The 19,179-nt window shown below is 49.7% G+C and overlaps 2 long non-coding RNA genes across 4 annotated transcripts; one reads left to right on the plus strand and one right to left on the minus strand.

The window, feature by feature from the left end:
- Positions 1–390: 390 nt before the first annotated feature.
- Positions 391–5,782, minus strand: LOC101928906 (uncharacterized). Of its 3 annotated transcripts, none has more exons than XR_929671.4 (3): positions 5,694–5,782; positions 1,317–4,891; positions 391–800 (listed from the first exon to the last, which is right to left on the minus strand). It is a non-coding gene; the product is annotated as an uncharacterized LOC101928906 (long non-coding RNA). The 3 variants fall into 3 exon arrangements; XR_002956841.2 differs by having other exon boundaries at positions 1,188–4,891; XR_007061514.1 differs by having other exon boundaries at positions 391–812; positions 1,188–4,891.
- FAM27E2 (family with sequence similarity 27 member E2) lies at positions 451–2,217 on the plus strand. Its single transcript, NR_103714.2, has one exon. It is a non-coding gene; the product is annotated as a family with sequence similarity 27 member E2 (long non-coding RNA).
- Positions 5,783–19,179: the final 13,397 nt, after the last annotated feature.

Raw genomic sequence — 19,179 nt, forward strand, 5'->3', positions numbered from 1 at the left:
CTCCACCGCCCTGGTAGCCCTGACGCAACTTCAGCTGCGCCCAGCCCCAGCCCCAGCCCCAGCCCCAGCCCAGTCCCTTTGGTTTCCTGACATTCGTTTCGGCCAGAAGATCAAGGGAGTCAGGCCACCCAGGAGCAGAGGAGAGGATGTCCCTCATGAATGAGACAGGAAGTGCAGAGGAAATGCGACACTACCTTTCCTGGAAGACAAGGCCAGTCATGGTCGCCTAGCGCTCATTCTAGGCAATCCACCCACCCATGAGGGGAAACGTGGAGAAGAAGGAAGCTTCCCTGCCTGAGACACGAATGGAAGCCAGGAGCTCCCAGGTCATGCGACCTGCCCAATCAAGCAGAAACACGTTTGGAGAGAGAAACAATCACGACACGGATCTCGAAGAAATGTCTCCCTGACGGACTGGGAAGTCATCTTTGTTGAAGACATTGGGCGTCAGCGAGAGGCATTGAGGCACTTGAGAAACAGGTGAGGCAGAGCAGGAGGGAGGACAGGGCAGACGCCGGCGGCCAGGCAGGATATATCACCGTTCCACTGCCAGGGTCATAAGGGGTGGGGTTCCAAAAGGGTGGCTTGTCCAGAGAGGCCAGCATTCCAGTGACAGGGACTGTTGCCATCTCCCATTCCCGGCTTCCTCTTCCAGACCTTATTGTGGTGTGGCTTCATTTCTCAGAGAAGAGCCATGAAAAGATACAAGCATCTTCTCTGACGTGGGTCCGCTGGTCTCCTGCGGGACAAAGAGCTCCTGTGGGGCTCGTGTCCTCGTCTGCAGTGTGTTCATCTTGATCCTAGAAAAGAGGCTGTTCAGGATGGGGAGGATATTTCAATTGCTCCGGGACTGAAGAATCTCCTCACGTGGGCCAGGCCTTCACACACCCAAAGCGGAACCGCGTCGGCGAAAAGGATTGACAACCGGTCTCATGACCCAGGCAGAGAGGCAGAAACAGGCTCACCAAAGACAGGCCGCCATGCGAGAAACAGCTTTGTGGTGCACAGGGCACATTCGGCCAAGGACACACACGCACACGGGCACACACACACAAACCGACAGAGAGAGGGAAAGAAACACACAGAGACTGAGAGACAGAGAGAGAAGAGAGAATGGGAGACACACACACATACACACACAGACACACACACAGAGTCTTATAGCAAAGGCATTGAAAGACACACACCCAGGCAACCCCTGAGGCTGTGGGGTTCTGCTTTCGACGAGAACGACCCTTCGGTGAGAGAGCACCCCAGGGGCACGCAGGCCGTCCTGTCCTCGAGATCACCGCGTCACGACTTTTGGGGAGACTCACCCCCACCAACACCGTCCAGAGAGGCCTGAGGGAGGGATTCCATGCTGCCTTCTCCGGACTCTGCGTCGGGTTTCCTCACCCTGTTTGGCCCTTTGTGACTCTTGGCATCCGGAGACTTTCCCCTCGACCCAGTGGAGTCGTCAGGCCGGAGCCTCAGAGCCTTGACACCCAAGCACTGCCACGGAAGTCTCCCCCTTTGCCAAGCCTCGGGGACTGGTTTCTAAGACAACCGTGGGAACCACTGTGACGGGAGAAACCGCTTGTGCTTCGCGCATGCGCATTGGCTGGGCCGACTCCTCCCCTCCTGGCAGTCAGGCTGCGTCCCCTTCAAAGAACGCCACCGCTGAGAACTGACCCTCACATCTCCCTTCCTGAATTTCTTTAGGGAAAGCAACAACCATCCCTGTAAGCCATGGGTTTTCATGCGGAGGAAGGAGAGGGCTAGTTGTCTGAGAGGGAAACTGCTTAAGGCTGCAGACTAGGAAATGGGATTCCAGGTTTAAGATAGCTCCTTTCTGGACCTCAGTCCTTCACCTAGTCACCTAGTCACAGGGTGGATCGCCTCTAAGGATACTTAGTGGAAAAGGAACCAAATTCGGGATGGTTCTCCTTGCTTTAAGCCTTGATGGGAGACGGGGAGGCCAACCCTTCTCTGCAGACCGTGATCCTCACTAGACAGAGGAGCTCCAAACCTGCCCATCTCATCCCATGCACCTACGGTGCCTGGCCTGGCTCCAAACTCCCGAAAGGAACTATTTTACAGGTGCCAAAAAGGGGACAGTGTTGATAATAATAATAAAATGAAACAATCTGATTGGGGCATTGCTGGATCAGAAAATGTGTGACCTTTTTAAAGTTAAATTGTTAAAAAATTTTAACTATTAAACATTTTAAATATTAAGCCTGATCTGTTTGGTAGCCCTGGAGCAGGGCTGAGGCATAGAGAGAAACCTTTCCTTCAGCCAGGTGGTCTGTGTCACACTGATTTATTTTTATTTTATTTGTGGATTTCTTAATGGACCCAACGGTGGTTCCTCTTTGCATCCCTCGGGTTGACAGGCAATTCCATCCTAGCCCAGTTCTCAGCTCTGGTTTAGTTTTCATAACTTTTGGGGGTCCAGGGAGCCATGAGACTGGAGATAGAAAACAGAAGTTCACTGGGGCGGTGGGTCTGCCTTGGCTTACCCCCAAATTTCTGGATTCCAGGTGCCTTGCTCCAGTCCCCGCCCCATCCTAGGCTCAGGATGCTCTCCCACCCTACTAACCACCGGTCCGGTCAAAGCCCAAGCTGCTGCCAGCCGCCATGTTATCTCCTAGCCTGGCTAGGGTGCCTGCTAGCCAGCAGTGGCTATGGTGGTGTGCAGAGTGAGGGTGAGTTTTTGTATTGACTGCCATTCCATTTACCTCAAGAAGTATGTTTGGGCAACCATTCTGTGCCAGGCAGCAGACAGAGTCCCTACACTGCAGGAATTCCTAGTCCTGTGGGCAGGGGTGTGTGGAGGATGGCACATGGTGGTTAGCCTGGTCCAAGGGTCTCCACTCCCTTCCTAGCATCCTAGAGATCCTGGAGGCTAGGTTGGCCACAGAGACTGAGTTCAGGACAATTCCTTCACGCAGTTAATGAAGTTAATCTGTAAGTTCCTGGTTAAAAAAAAAAAAAAACACACACACACACACAAAAACACAAAAACTGGCAGTCGTGGGAGGTATTTCCCCACTGGGCTGGTTGGTAGCAGGGGAAGAACTGTGGACCCCTGGCCGAGTGGCGCCTGGAAGGAGGCTGACGTAAGAGTGGTGTAGCTGTGAGTAGGAGAAGTGAGATCTAGTGGGGTAAGTCCATGTTCCCTGTTCCTAAAGTCAAATTCTCCCTGAAAAGACCCAGGGCAGCACTGTTAGGGAGCTGAAGGAGTCCCTCTGTACCCAGAGGGAATTAGGCCACTCAGGCCTCAGAGAAGGAGGGCGGGTGGTGAGGACAACCTCCCCAAGCCCCCATCAGAGCAGGCCCAATACTTGGAAATTCACTCCTCAGTCCACCAGATTCTGGTCCCATCCTACATCCCCACCAGGGCACAGGAGGCCCACATAAAAACAAGCTTTATTTGGCCAAATTAACTCACTTTCCTGGATTACCTTACTTATTGGAAAGCGAAAGTACACCCCACGCTCCTCGCCCTGTCCCTGCCGAAACCTCTTTATCTCTGAAGCCCACTCTTTAAGACCTAAAAATTAAGGTTCAAGAGAAACGCTCTAGGACTACAGGAGTGACACGACAGTCCCTATCCTACAGTGCACTAAAAGCCAAACTGAAGGCTGCTTCCTCGGTGGAGAGTGTCTCAGGGTGAGGTGGCAGGACTGTTAGCCGCTTCTCATTTTACAAGCTCCTTGTCCACAGTCATCTGCACCAGCCCCTCACAAAACTGGTTCTCGCCTTCTGGTGGGTGCTGGTGTTTACCCCTTTCCTCCCACTATCTGTTCAAACCGAGCCCACCCACCCTCCATTCACCTCCCCTCCTTAAGGCTCCCTGAGCTCTATTTACCCTTTTGTAACTCCATCCCTCCATAAGTACACAACTCTCCTAGCTGGTTTCCTAGAGGGCAGATACAGTGTTTCCAGTCGGCCCTCTGCAGATATCTGTGAATAAGTCTCTCCCAGCCCCTACATATAAATGTGTCTGTTCTAGACAGATGGGCCTAAGTCCCAACGTAAACACATCACTGGATAATTACACCTTATATACATACAGATTTCTCTATAGAGTTATATTTGAAAGTGTCTATAACTCTAGAGAGAGATTGCAGCATGCACATATAGGACTATAATTACTTATGTCTATTTTTATAACTATGCAGTTATAAATAGATATGCCTATATACAGTGATAATAATATAGAAATATCTCCATAGCCATATATGGCTCTAAGTGAATGCTCTAACTACTCTATTTCGCAATCAATAAGTATATATCTCCTGATACATAATTCTAACAATATACGTTTTTATCTATATAGCTGTTCAGAGATATAAATCTGTCAGGATATCAAATGTACATAAAGCCGGATGGCTGTAAGGGAGTCGCATATTTTCCCATATATAAATCTGCTCCTATAACTACTGTATATGCACAAATACAATGGAAATAATTATATTTCCCTCAAACGTAAATCTGTAAATACAACCACAGCACATTTAGGTACCATTAGACATAGAGCAATATTTCCTAGACATCAGTCTGTCAGTAGAGCCACCAGTGCCTCCAAACAGAGAGTTATAGAGGGAGTTATAAATAAACTCTCCAGATGTGAACGGATCAGTAGAACTAGATGTAAACATGACTCCAAGCCGTTCCTCCTCCTCCTCCTTCTTCTTTGTAAGATATTCCTGAAGCAAGCCCAGTCATATAACAGGGTGCAGAGGTGTCTGGGTACTGGTATTTTTTCCCCCAAGGAGGGTCGGAGGTGGCTGGACTTTGGGAAACTGTGCAGGAGTGGGTAGGGGACAATGCCCGCTCCCAACACAGCCCAGAAGCCCCTTCCGTCTGTCTCCTGGTGGCTGAGAGCTCGGGCAAGTGGAGAGGCCTAAGGGAGAAAAATGAAAAAGCAGAGTCTGGCTTGAGTCGTTCAGCCCTTCGGCCTAAAACCCTCTCAACAGGGAAGCCCCGAACAGGCGTCGGAGCGTAGAGAGCCCACGAGGCCCAGAGGCTGGGGGTAAGGGGCTGCAGGCCGGGCTGCGGAGGCCGAGCAGAGTCGCCAGCCGGTGCCTGACTGCCCGGCGCCCCATCTCCCGGGGCCGCTGCCTCGCCCTCGGCCTGGAACACAAAACCTGGGCCCTAGCCCTGCGCCCTGTGCTCAGCACTTCCACTGGTCTTATTTTATTGCTGTTTTGTCCAATTAGGTATCGCAGCGTCCTCCACCCGGTGTTGTTTTCAAATGCGAGGGCACCCAGGGCTTTCTGAATGTGCGTGTGTGTGTGTGTGTGTGTGTGTGTGTGCGTGTGTGTGTGTGTGTGTGTGTGTGCTGGCTTTAAATAAGTGACTCAGTGGATAGTGTATTTCTCTTTTCAGACCAAATGGGTCACCGGCTACTGAAAAAGAATCCAGACCTCTGAAAGGGTTCGTGACAAATTTTTTAGAAGTTCTCACGCTCATCTGTTACGATGATTTTCTTTTCTTTTTTCTCTTTTAAAAAAGTTGGCTAATTTGTGTTTCTATATTCCTCTTTAATTTTATTTTTATTGGGGGTACAAATGTTTTTAAAGGAGGGATTTCGTTAGACCCGAAACTGTGGGGTGGCTTCCTCTCTAGCCAACTTACTATCTCTACGCCTGTGATTCCCATCTCCCCCAAGAAAACAAACCAATTAAATGACCAGAAAACTGTACCTGGAGAAAATGAGGTATATGTTGCAGGATCCGGGACCGCGGTCTTTGCTTGCTTCGTGAAAAATCGGCTGGTCTCCAAACTCGCGAAGGAAAATTCAAGGCGCCTCAACTCCTCCTTTTAAATTTTTTAATAAAGAGCCTAGAAGGGGAACTTTCCCTGGGCCTGCCGGAGTCCCAGCCTGGCTCTCCCAACTTCCCAGCGGCCATAAGTGTTTTTCTGCTTCCATTCGGGCCCCCCGTCTTCCCGGGCATCTCTGAGCTCCTGCCGGATCAAGGCTGTGGTCATCACCTCATTCATCTCTGCTGCTTGGCCTGAGCCTGCACATTTGGCCTCCTTCTTAAAACAGGGGCTCCTAGAGAGTCCCAAAATCCACTAACCATTCCCATATGTGGGATCCCTTCCCTGATCACACAAAGCAGAAGCCTGAGAAAAAAAGCAATAAAGAGTGGCCTCCTGGCTCTCCTTCTCCTCTTACGTCCCTTGTCTGGGAAAGGGGTTCCCAACCCCAGCCCCACCAAGAGCATATTAAGAAGCTGTCTTCCTCCCTTCCTTTCCTATCTCCCCCTCAGATGCTGTGATCCTGACTCCTTCTGTCTCCACCTCAAAATATTTCCTCTTGCATTTTATTGTTATTCTGTTATGCAGGGACTGTTAACTACTGTTTTATTATTATTATTCATTATTTATTGTTATTAAGATTGTCGTTAGAGATTTGTTCACCACCGTTCAAGGGACAGCAGCCTGGCCCAGTGGGAAGCCTGCCTCTCCCTGTCTCTCTCTCTCTCTCACACACACACACATACACACACACACACCCTAACACAGTGCACACTCACGCATATATGCTCACAAATGCCTGCTGTGTTCGGGCCCCTGCACAGCAATCCGAAGAGGCAGGCATCCTACCCCAGCATGCAAACAACACACTGCCCACGCACACCAGCATTCAGGCAGAACACCACCCCCACACCAACGCCAAAACCCACACGCACCGAGCTTGCAAGGAAAGGAAAATACATAAAGAATCCCTTCTCTCCAAAACCTGGAGGGGCGAGTCAGGCCTCTGTCTCTTCCCCCCAGTCGCTTTCGCTTTCTCTTTTTTTTTTCTCCTTGTTTACAGCTTCAGAGAGCTCAAGGCCCATAAATCTTGAGGGGTCTACAGAGCGCAGAGCACATTTGTATGCATCGTTAGGACTCGCTAATACCTAAGCCCATTAAGGAGCGTGCATGCGCGTGGTTTCCGGTGTGTATTAACTTATAGTTAAATTCTGGAGGAAAGGGCATTGTGAATTAACATATACCAAATCCATCATGGGCTTTTGTCATATCAGATTAGTCAGTCATGGGTTTGGGGGAGTAACTTGCCTGGGTCGGGGTGTACCCACCCTTCAAACTTTGTGGAGCAGGCCCGGGGGTCTTGGGAAACACGAAGGCATTCCTATCCAGCCCCAGTCATTCGGATCCCCCAGGCCTAGCGGCTGCACACTTGTGAGATGGCGGAGGGACTGCAGACCCGGGTGCAGGAGGCCAGTGCCAGCGAAGAGAGGTGGGCAAGGGAGGCCCCTCCAGCGTCCTGCTGGGGTTGAGTTGGGGCGACTCGTCCCGTGGCCGCTGGGTCGTCTGGTTTCCCCTTTCCGAAAGAAATGAGAGGAGAGGCAAGTGGAGTCGCTGAACTTTGATTAAACCATAGAGAAGACAGTGGGAGGAGGGAAAAAAAAACAGATCGGAGAAGGAGGAGGAGGTGGCCGAGAGATCGAGGAAAGGAAGTCCTAGAGGCTCTGGGGAATTTGGAAATCTCTCCAAGGGGCTGAAAGCTGGAAGTTGTATGAAGGTGTTCCTTTCCCACACCCCAGCTACTCCGCCCCAGTCGAAGAGGCTAATTCCGGGCCTCTTATAAAAATAAGAAAGAAAAGGTAAAGAAAAAGAAAATCTAATTATGTGGCATGTTTCAGCCAGGTGTTCCTGGTTCCAATGACTCAGACCCTATTGGAGCCCCAAGTATCTGGATAATTGGGCCTGCCTAGACAGAGATGAAGGATGCCATTTCTAAAAGGAGGAAGGGGAGAGGAAAGTCCATCTCTTGGGGTCTTGTAGAAAATGCCAAAGACCAACCAAGCTAAATTATTGTGTCCCTGTAGATCTATTTGCCTCTTTACGTACAGCAGGCTGTGGGGGTGGGGGGTGAGGGAAGGCCGGGAATAAACGACCAGGATGGAGCGGGCTGGCAGGAGAGAAAATGCGCCCCCCACTCTTTGCGGGAACAGCCAACGGGCCTCCTCAGCTCGCAGCTCAGGCGGCCGCGCGGCAGGCCGGTCCTGGGCCGGGGTCCGGGGCCGGGAGGCGGGGGCGGGAGGGGAGGCGGAGGCGGGCCCTCCCGGGGCGCTGTGAACTTTAGCTGGGCCGCCGCCTGTCAGCCCCAGAAAGCGTTAAAGGTGCAGCAGCCCGCGCCAGCCTCCGCAGCCGCCTTTGTACGCGTGATTTATGACTTCAGTCTTGGTTCACCAAGAGTTCACACGGCTTTCGCTGCTGTTGAAGGTTAAAAGATGGTCTTCGCTTGACAAGTTGGACTATTGAAAATTCCTTCTTCTTCTTCTTTTTTTTTATTTTAGAAGCGAAGAGCAGAGGCTCAGGAGAGAAAAAAATTGGGGAGGGGGTGGGGGACAGGGGTTGCAGGTGGGCCAAAATGGTAGGTCAGGAAGGTTTGTCTTCCTATATTTAGGATTTTTTGTTGTTAGGATTTGCGTGTGTGTTGGGGAGAGGGTAGAGAATAAGAGGGAGCTAGGCAAGAGATGTAAAGATCTCTCATATTTAGAGGCCAAAGGAGTGAAAAAAAAACTTGCTTCCACAGTTAATTATCTGGGTAACTTGGGTCACACCCCCTAACTGATCCTCCTCTAGAGACCGGAAATGGGCCAGGTAAGGGAGAGAGTTTGGGTAAAGGGTAAGGTTTGTGTGCTTCTCACTGGGTGTACTTGATCATCCACCTTACCTGGGTAACTACTTTTTTTTTTTTTTTTTTGGAAATGGGGTCCAGCTCTGTTTCCCAGGCTGGAGTGTTGTGGCACCATCATAGTTCACTGAAGCCTCAATCTCCTGGGCTCAAGTAGTCCTCCCACCTTAGCCTCTTAAGTATGTGAGACTGCAGGCATGTGCCACACCGCCAGGCTGGGTAGCTGCCTTTCAATGTGCTTCTGCACCCACAGATTTGGAAAAGGGCATTTTTAGGCAGCAGTCTTTCAACTCTCTTCATCCTGTAGGTTTAGCCTGCCATTTACATTTGATACACATGAAGAGGCTAATGGGAAGGAAATCTATAGAACTGGAATTGGAAGTCCTTTCAAATCCCAAATTCCCTTGGTCTAAGAGCCAGTCTCTCTTCTTTCTAGCATTTTGACAATGGTCGTGCCACAGCAGAGGTGGTGGTCAAAGATCTCCCAAAGACCAGGATCTAAGGCTCTGAGTACTTGGAGAGACAAAACTCACTCCTTCTTTGTAGATTCAGAGAGAGAGAGAGAGAATGAGGAGATACCTTGAAGCTGAGGGTCTGCTTGGCTTTTCGAGGTTTTTTTTTAAGATATGTTTTTTAAAAATTTTCTGGAGTGGGAATTGGGATTGTGTGCACTGGGAAGGGGAATAGCAGAGAGCTGGGTCTGGAGTTGGGTGTGCCTCCCTAGCCCTATTAAGGCCCTATCTCCATTACCGACGCTAGGTAAATGTCTTCTTAAGAGATAGAGCCAGCCCCTCAAATCCAGATCTGGGAACCAAAGGCATCCACGCTAGAAGGGGCACTCCCTGCTTCTCTTTCTACATAGCATTACATAGGTATTTTCCCACCATGTGAGGACTTAGATAAGAGAAGGATAAGAGCCAGAAAGATGTCCACATCTCGCCGGGACACCTAGCACCAGGCCCTCCTACAGGGGACCTCATATGTAAATAGCAGAATGGGGAGCAGAGAACAGAGAGACCCCAGAAATCCAGAGTCCAGGCTCTGAGGTCACTTTGGCAGGAATGGTCCTCTGGCCTTATGAAGAACAGAGGGGCAATATGACACTGTTTAGAAGCTCAGGGGGTGGTAGCTGTTAGGAGGAATCAGCCAAGGAAGCTAATGGATCTCTTCCAGGTTCTGGTTGGGAAGCAGAGGAATGAACTTAACGGCCTCTGGAAGTAATGTCTATACTGAAGTCCCCTTCTCACACTTTCTGACTGTGTTCCTCCCTGGGAAATAATTCCAGTGGGCTTGTGCTTATCTGCAAGTCTGGGGTAATTATGAATTATTAATTCATCATTAAGACTTAATTGTGACCATTGCTCTCCAGTGGACCCATTTATCTCCTTCTTTGTGAGGCAGAGGGCAGCCTCTGTTAGCCCTTGGCTTCTGTAACAGGCAAACCGAGGCCAGCCCCTCTTGAAGGCAGTCCTTGAACTCTGCCCCAGGTGGGATGGTTGCCTCATTACCAGTCAAGTCATGTTGCACCTCAGAGTATTTGTGCGATAGAGCCACCTCCCACAAACTTTGGATTTCAAAGTGCTTTGTAGGCTCCTGGAGGGATAGAGTAGGGGACTGGGAGTGAGACTCCAACAGGGGAAGAAACTTGGCCAAGCTGTGTGTGGAGACAGGAATTAAGGCGAGGTGGGAGGACTCCCAGGCACAGTATCCAAGCAATCTGGGATCAGGAATGGGCATTTTGCCTTCCTTACCCTAAGGAGATGCTAGTCTCCCTCAACTCTCTGGGGACTCCTGAACACACATCTGGCCCCTTTTCCTGACCTCTCTTCCCCCACCAGCCTCTCAATAGAGAAGCACAGGTTTCAAGACACATCATCCCCTCCGATGGTTAGGGGTGGGAAAGTCAGATCTGCCAGTTGTTTCACATCTGTGAGAGGCCTGGAGAGGGAGAAAACTGCTCCTATCCCATGAGGTAATTCCCATCTAAATCCCTGCTATAAGCTCACCTCCCCCAGCACTGAAACAATTCTCTTCATCCTTTTTTCCCCACTCTTCTTCCCTCTGGAACCACAGACAGGGAGATTGAGGGCGGGAGAGGCATCTCCCAACAGCTGTACCTAGAGGAAGAGACAGAAGTAGGAAATGAGGGGAGAGTGGCTTAAACCTGTTATTTCCCACAAGGTTTATCTCCATTCTTCAAACCCAGGTCAACACCCTGAAACCAGAGCCATGGGAAGCCCTCTCTCCTTGTTCCCCCAACTCTCTCTCTCTCACAGAAAAGGAGCCCTGTGTCCCTCCCTGAGGCCAAGGGGCTGCTCTAAAAACTGCTCTAAGAACACTACCACTTTCTACAGGACACCTGAGGGCCCAACACCCATGGATCTCTAGTGCCTGTCTGGTCCAGAGGGAGCCAGTGGCTCTTGCCAGCACATCAACATTTTGTGCCCCACGAGGGGGGTGGTCCATGGAGTCATCTCAACTTTCAGCCCAGACCTCACTCACTCTTTCTCCAAGCCACGCCAACATTCCTTGGTCTCTTCTAAGCCAGGAGGCAGGTAGGAAGCCCATTCAGAGGGTCCCCTGGAACTGGCTAATATAGTTTAATTTACTGTTTGGTGGTAAATAAAGAGAACTTGGGAAAAAAGGGAAGGAGCAACTGTGCCTAGCGTCCTTCTCAGCCACCCGTCCCCTGGACATTGGCTTTCTCCTTGAAACAGTGCACTGTTGTTCTTGGACAACCATTCCCCACCATCTTCGTTGGAAGGGCTTGAGTTTCACCCTCCGTTCACCCCCATTAATCACCCCAGCAGCTAAACATCACCCAGCCCCCTCTGGCCCTTTCTCTTCTTGCCCTTAGTATTCATGGCGGAGCATTCCTCACTGCTGCACGCTCACAAAGACCCCTCCTCTGACACGAGGTCCCTCCCACTCCCCAACCACCCAGTCCACGATGGGCACTGCTCACTGGATGTTCCAACTGCCGGTGTCCACTCCTGGACCCCGTTCCCCCACTCCCCAGCTATCTCCGTAGCCACGGCCCCCTTCCCATGCACGTGTTGGTTTACCACACCCTCCTTCAGGTACCTCCTCTTAGCCCTACAAACCCTCTTCAGTCTTTCCCAGCCACCATTCTGTCCTCCATGCCCTATGCATGTGTAGCCCTTGTCTGCTTCCCTATACTTCTTGCTTCTCTCTTCTTTCCTTCCCCAAGACATTCCGTAGGCACTTCATATGGTGGACCAGAAGCCCTTCCCTTCTGGCCTTGAGAAAGTGAGAGGCAGTGTACCACAGGGGTTAAAAGCATGGGTTTGTGATTCAAGTCCCTCATCTGACACTCGCTAGTTGTACAAACTTGGGCAAATTACTTAACATCTCTGAGCCATCCATAAAATAGACATACCCACTGACCTTATAGAGTTGTTCTGTAGATCAGATTGAATTTTATTTGCATAGATCCAAGCATTCAGCAGGGGCTTGATAAATGGTAGTTATTGTGTTACAAGCTTCTTGTGAAGAAAGAGAGATGTTCTTCAGATTCTAAAAAGTGAAGGAATTGCCTCCTCCAGCACCAGAGAGGGAGGGATAAAAATTACACAGTGTTGCAGATAATCAGGACCCATTTACCGGGCAGTGATACTCTTCTATTAGCTCTAGAGGGTCTCAACTTTCGCTGCACATTGGAACCCCCAGCGAGTTTTTTTGTTTGCTCATTTTTGTTTTTGAGATGGTGTCTTGCTCTTGTCACCCAGGATAGAGTGCGGTGGCACATCTCGGCTCACTACAACCTCTGCCTCCTGGGTTCAAGCAATTATCCCTGCCTCAGCCTCCCGAGTAGCTGGGATTACAGGTGCTTGCCACCATGCCCAGCTAATTTTTGTATTTTTAATAGAGACGGGGTTTCACCATGTTTGCCAGGCTTGTGTCAAACTCCTCACCTCAGGTAATCCGCCCGCCTCGGCCTCCCAACGTGCTGGGATTACAGGTGTGAGCCACCATGCCCAGCCACAAGTTTTTTAAAATACTGATGCCTGGGTCCCACCTCCAGAGATTCCAATTTGGTTGGCCTGTAGTAGGGCCTGGGCATCTGGATTTTTTTTTTTATTATACTTTAAGTTTTAGGGTACATGTGCACATTGTGCAGGTTAGTTACATATGTATACATGTGCCATGCTGGTGCGCTGCACCCACTAACTTGTCATCTAGCATTAGGTATATCTCCCAATGCTATCCCTCCCCCCTCCCCCCACCCCACCACAGTCCCCAGAGTGTGATATTCCCCTTCCTGTGTCCATGTGATCTCATTGTTCAGTTCCCACCTATGAGTGAGAATATGCGGTGTTTGGTTTTTTGTTCTTGCGATAGTTTACTGAGAATGATGATTTCCAATTTCATCCATGTCCCTACAAAGGACACGAACTCATCATTTTTTATGGCTGCATAGTATTCCATGGTGTATATGAGGGATCTAGAACTAGAAATACCATTTGACCCAGCCATCCCATTACTGGGTATATACCCAAATGACTATAAATCATGCTGCTATAAAGACACATGCACACGAATGTTTATTGCGGCATTATTCACAATAGCAAAGACTTGGAACCAACCCAAATGTCCAATAATGATAGACTGGATTAAGAAAATGTAGCACATATACACCATGGCATCTGGATTTTTAAAACTCCCCAGGTTGCTAATGTGTAGCCAGAGGTTGAGATGCAGGCCCTAGGAAATGATACAAGAGATAAGGGGAGGGCTGACACTTCTGCCAGAGCAAGAGAGGGGAGGGATACTCAGCTGAGAGCTGCTTCTCAACCTTGGACATCCCCTCACCACAGGCACTGCTTCAGTCCGGGAGGTTTTCACTTAGAATTAGCTTCTCTTGAGATCCCAGAATTTCAGAGACTCTCACCCTTTTCATTTCCTATAGCTATTAGAATTTACAAAGGGGCCACCCCAAGAGGAGACAGAGGAATTGACAAATTGACCTCTAAGAGGCTCATCTCTTATCCGAAAAGCATATGGTCCCCAGATCACCAGTGATAGAAGCAGAGGCAGATACCTCTAGTAGTTGGAAAATTTGTAGTTACATAGTAAATGCAGTTTCTACCTGGTTGCTACAATAATAGGCCAAGCGATTAGGATACAAGTTTCCAGGATCTTTTCCTATATTTCCAAAAAGATAAATCACCCCTAGGAACAGAATCTGCATATTGTAATTAACTGATAAATATTTCATGCCTGGCTCAAACTTTCTCCTCTTCTATTTAATGGCCACAAACTTGAACACAGAGGAAACAGCAGTGAGGAGAGTGGGGGTTGGCTGTAGTGGGGAAGTTCTACCTTGGCTTCAGGGAGGGAGAAACTGTCTTGGTTAATTATTTACTGTCCTCCTCTTCTTTTAAGAAAACATTGCTCACCTGGAGAAAATCAGGTCCCAGGTGGTAAAGGGTGTGACTTGGGCTTGTTGGCCTCAGCCCTGACCTCCCCCAGGAGAGGCCAGGTTTTGGTGACCCTGGGGGTGCTGGGAACTGCAGGCTTTGGAGTCAAGGGCCCAGTGTTTAAACAAGAGCTCTGTTCTGTCACTTATTAACTGGATAGCTTTAGGTAATTTACGTAATTTATGTGAAACTCAGTTTCTTCATCTGTAAAACAGACATAATTTTTACCTTGTAGGGTGGCCTATGCTCAGTTGGCTCTCAATGCATGATAACTATTATTATCAACAGTAACAATGAATAATTAATAGCCCATTGGATTGTACTCTTTCCCTTCCTCAACCCTGCTCCAATGTGTAGGGCACCTAAACTACTGAATGCTTACTGTGAGTATGGTGAATGCCTTAGCTCAATTAATCAACATAATTCTTTGAAGGGAATGTCTTATCATCCCTACTTATCTGTGTTTTGCAAATGAGGGAACAGGGCATGCAGAAGTTAAATACCCTGCCAGGTGTCACACAACTAAGTGGTTAAGAGCACAGGCTCTGCAGTCTGACTGTGTAGTTTCAAATTTGGGCTCTGCCGCTTAATAATAGACTCTCCTTGACTTACGATGAGGCTGTGTCCCGATAAAGCTGTAGCAAGCTGAAAATATTGTAAGGTGGATATGCATTTCATACACCTAACCCACCAAACATCATAGTTCAGCCTCGCTTACCTTAAAGTGCTCAGGACACGTTCATCAGCCTACAGTTGGGCAAGATCATCTAGCACAAAGCCTATTTTATAATAAAGTGTTGAATATCTCATGTATTCAACATGAGATATTTATTCATCTCATGTATTCAACATGAGATTCAACATGTTATAATATACTGTACTGAAAGTGAAAAACAGAGCGGTTGTATGAGTATTAGAAGTACAGTATCTAATGAATGCATATCACTTCGGCATCATCATAAAGCTGAGAAATTGTAAGTCAAAGCATCATAAATTGAGGACCGTCTGTGATCACTGCAGGATGGAACATAAACTGCTTAACCTCGCTAAGCCTCAGTTTCTTCATCTGTAAGTTGGGGATATGAATGGTACCTACCTGAAAGGTAGTTGTGAGAATTAAGTGAGAAATGCGTGTATAGTGCCTGTCTCAGTACTGGCATGTGGTAAGTGCCTAGTAAATGTGAGTTGTCAGTACCATCATCATACTACCCAGCAACTCAGTGCCATGGCGTCTCCTGCTCTTTGGTGGTGTTTGGGAGGTGAGTGAGTGTGAGGGTCCTCCAAAGGTCACAGAGCTGCTCTTTTAACTCCCCCTGACAGACACACACACTTCAGTATCTAGGACTCGGGAGAAAGGACACTAAGCAGATTATGACTCCATTTCAGGAATTAAATCAAAACTCAAGACTATCTCAATTTGGCTTCTGACTAGAGGGAAAGGTTAAAAGGGAGTGAGGAAGCGGCTGGGTGTGCGTTCAGAATTGCAATTGGTTCTGGATCCCACCTCCCAGCCCCTCCACAGGGCCAGGCCCAAGGAGTATCCCCCAGGGGTGGAGGAGTGAAGGAGCCTTAGAACCTGTGTTATCTGAATGTGGGTGAGGTGGGGAGAACATGGTCAAGGAGTTGGGAAATTATCCAGAAACATTTTTCAAAGGGAGATCTTCCCGCATACCACCTCAGCCTGGCTCTGGATTGCAGGGGAACTCCAGAAGGGATGGGGTCTGGGGGCTTAAGACAGGTAGGTGGCCTCAGTAGAGGGGAGAAAAAGTCCTGCTGGAGACAGTCGCCTCCCTGGAGAAGTACCTGGGCTAGCGTTCTCTTTAAAGACGTCTAAGCAGTCCTGGTATGCTAAAAACATTATGTGTATGTGTATAAACATATATTCTGTGTGTGAGTAGCCACTCAGCTCTTACTTGGCTTCGCACATTTGGCCCAGATTATTCTGAGCATTGTAAACTAAAAGTGAAATTCGGTTTCTACTTAAGAGAGAGCGTGATTTTCCTCAGTATTATCTCCCGTGCCCCCAACACTCCACCAGGCTTTAAAGGCCATTATACAGAAGGGAGAACTGAGACTCCAGGAGATCGGTGGCTTGTTCAGAATCACAGAAGCAGCGTGGATCCAAGAAGGGATCTGTTCCCAAACAGAAACCAGTGTCTTGGGAGAGAGAGAGCAGAGGAAGCCCGCACCTCTGCCCTAACCTGAGGCTTTGAGCCTCCCGCAAAGCCGAGTGAGTTGAGAGCGCCCAGAAGGCAGACGCTGCGGAGGGAGAGACTCCTGGGCTAGCCAAACAGCAGGGCCTCGGGCAGGAGCGTCACCTGCGCATCCTCATTCTGCGATTACTGTCAGGGGACCATCCATCAAAGCCGCCCTGGACGCTGGGCCAGACTGCCCGCCGCCGGCACCGACCGGGTCTCTCCAGATCGCATTAGCGTGGGGCGAGGGCTCAGTGCGGCACTGGCTGCTGAGGGAGAGGCGTGGCGGGGAGGGGGGCGGGGCGGGGGGACGGGGACATCGCGGTGGGGCCATTGCAGGGGCAGGGGAGTGGCTGCTTTAGGACCCTCCTCCTTTTCTTCCAATCTCCCGCCTCTGGGATCTAAGGTGGATGAAAGGGGCACTAGAATGGGCGGCTTTTGGGGGGCAGGGGGTGCAGAACACTGAAGGCATCAGGGAAGGGTAGTGATGGGGGCAGTTATCAGAAGCAGAGAGGAAGAAATACCTGTAAAGGGGAAAGCCAGAGAAATTGTCTGGGGAGGGGAGAGACTGAAAATGGGGGTGCAGAGATTGGGGGTTAGTGGAAGAAAAAGCCTTAAAGGGAAAGGAAAAGAGAAGCTGTAGAGGGAAAAAGAATAGGCAAGGAATTGACGAGAGAGCAGGGAAACAGGAAACCACAGATCGTCAGGGGCTGACAAAACCTTAGAGACAATCTACTGCAGCCCCTCATTCTACAAATGAAGAAATGGAGGCCCAGAGAGGGGAATCCCTTCTCCAAAGACCCACTCCACCTGCTGGCTGGGCAGGCTCTTGACCGCAGGCTCATTCATTCAACCCATGTGTTTTGAGCATCTGCTGTGTGCTGGGCACTGGTCTGCCGAGATGATGCAGGATCAGCTCCTGCCCTCCAGAAGCTACAGTCTTTCCTCAGGGGCTTGGAGAGGCTGAGCATCCAGGAAGCTCCCTCACCCCCAGCCAGGAGGGACTCCCTGAGCCCCACCTCTCCTGGCCACTGAACCTTCCTTGCCCTCTGCTGTTCTGCTTATCTCCTCATGGAGGGTGGCCGTTCCCTGGAAGATCTTCCCTCTCCACTTTCCTGGGGACTCCCCAGGTGTGGAGACAGGTACTCGACAGTTTGGCCAACTTGTTCTATCTCCCACAGCCAACAGCGTAGGCCTAAAAGCAAAGTCCATATTCCTTGCTGGGTTTCACCTCTGGGCATGGACAAATCCCACAGGTTGGACTGAGATCCAATTGAGCTGTGGTAAGGAGGATTGAGGCTGGACATGAAGAAGTACTTCCAGGTCCCACAGTGTGGGATCATTTTCCTGCTGGGGCTTTAAAGTAGCTGTCCTTCTGTGAGCACAGTGTTGGCACCATCTTCCAGGGAAGGACTTGTCTTCCTCAGTCTCCAGTTAGCCTTGTGCGAGGCATTATGCTGGGAATGTTGGGGTTCCAGATACCTGGTCTCTGACCATGGGGTTTCTGCTCTAGACATGGGTGAACTGACATCTCCCTGGCATCCTCCCAGTCACTGCCAGCTCTGCAACATCATGGAACCCCTGAGTCCTTCACAACTCCCAGATCATCTCATCCTTCCTCCTTGCTCTGGGAAGACCATGTCTGAGTAGTTCCAACCAACCTCTCACCTTAAACCCAGTCCCTGATAATGAGAAGTACCTCCTTAGTCTGGACTTGACCTTCCTTGCTGCCATGGTCCATCAGCAATGACCAGGGCTGAAGCAGCACGTTTTTTCTATAAACACCGCTCCCTCCCAGTGATGCTCACCCAATCCTCGGTGGTCAGGCAGGGAGTGGGGACAGCTTCCTGCCAAGAGCTCTGGAAGGCAGCTCTGCCTCCTCTGCCTGAAGCAAGCTCCTGTATACTCTGAGATGGTGGTGTTCATTTTAAAGAAGGGACCATCTTTCCTCCACAGCCCAGCTTACATTTGGAGGGAGACAAATGTGAGTTTCCAATCCCAGAATCTTAGCCACTGTACCAATCTCCATGGATGCGTGGGATTCAGGAAAGGAGAGAAATGAGCAGAGTGAGGACATGGATAGAATCCATTTCCTACCCCTTGTTCCAGCCCAAGTCCCAGGGAAAGGCCCACAGAGGGCAAGAGAGGTGGACACTGAAAATTCCAGACTAAAGACCAGCAGACAGATTTCAGCATTATTCCTTCTTGTAGGCAAAGTGGTACCTAAGGATCTAACCAAATGAAAAAGCCTGGGAAATAGGCTATTTCTGCACCCCCTGACCCTTCATGCAGAGCAGGATATCGGCTTCAGCCCAGGAGCAATGCTAGAAGTTGAGAGGTTTGGAGTAGACTGTGAAGCAGTTCCTCCAAGGGCATGCCAGATGAGGGGGTTGGAGCACCCAGCCCAGAACAGCATCCAAGGAAGGAGGCCTTGGCAGTAACTTTCTGTCTCTGTATTAACTTCACATACATTGTCTTGTGTGATCCACAGTGCCAGGTTCAGCACCAGGCACAGAATACATGCTTGCTGTACAAATGCATAAGTGAAGAGCCATGGGAGGAAGGTCAGGATCCTCAATTACAGATGAAGAAACAGACACACAGAAAGGTTAAATGACTTGCTCAAGGTCACATATCTCATCAGAGACAGGGCCAAGTTTCAGTGGAGAGCCACTTTAGTGGTAGAGGGTGGTAGGGAGGAGGGAGGCAGGAAGGGAGGGAATGAACCATCAGACACCACACTGGGGGAGAGGAGAGCTGTCATCTCTTTCTCTTTGTGAAAAGAGATTACTTCCTGGGAAAGGTGGCATTTAAGACCACACAGTTTTAAAAACGACCCATTGAAGGTTGATTTGTAGCATATGCAAAGTTCTGCCAAAAACATGGAGAGGTCAATGAG

Source organism: Homo sapiens, chromosome 9 (assembly GCF_000001405.40).
Source record: "Homo sapiens chromosome 9, GRCh38.p14 Primary Assembly".
Classification (NCBI taxonomy): Eukaryota; Metazoa; Chordata; class Mammalia; order Primates; family Hominidae; genus Homo; species Homo sapiens.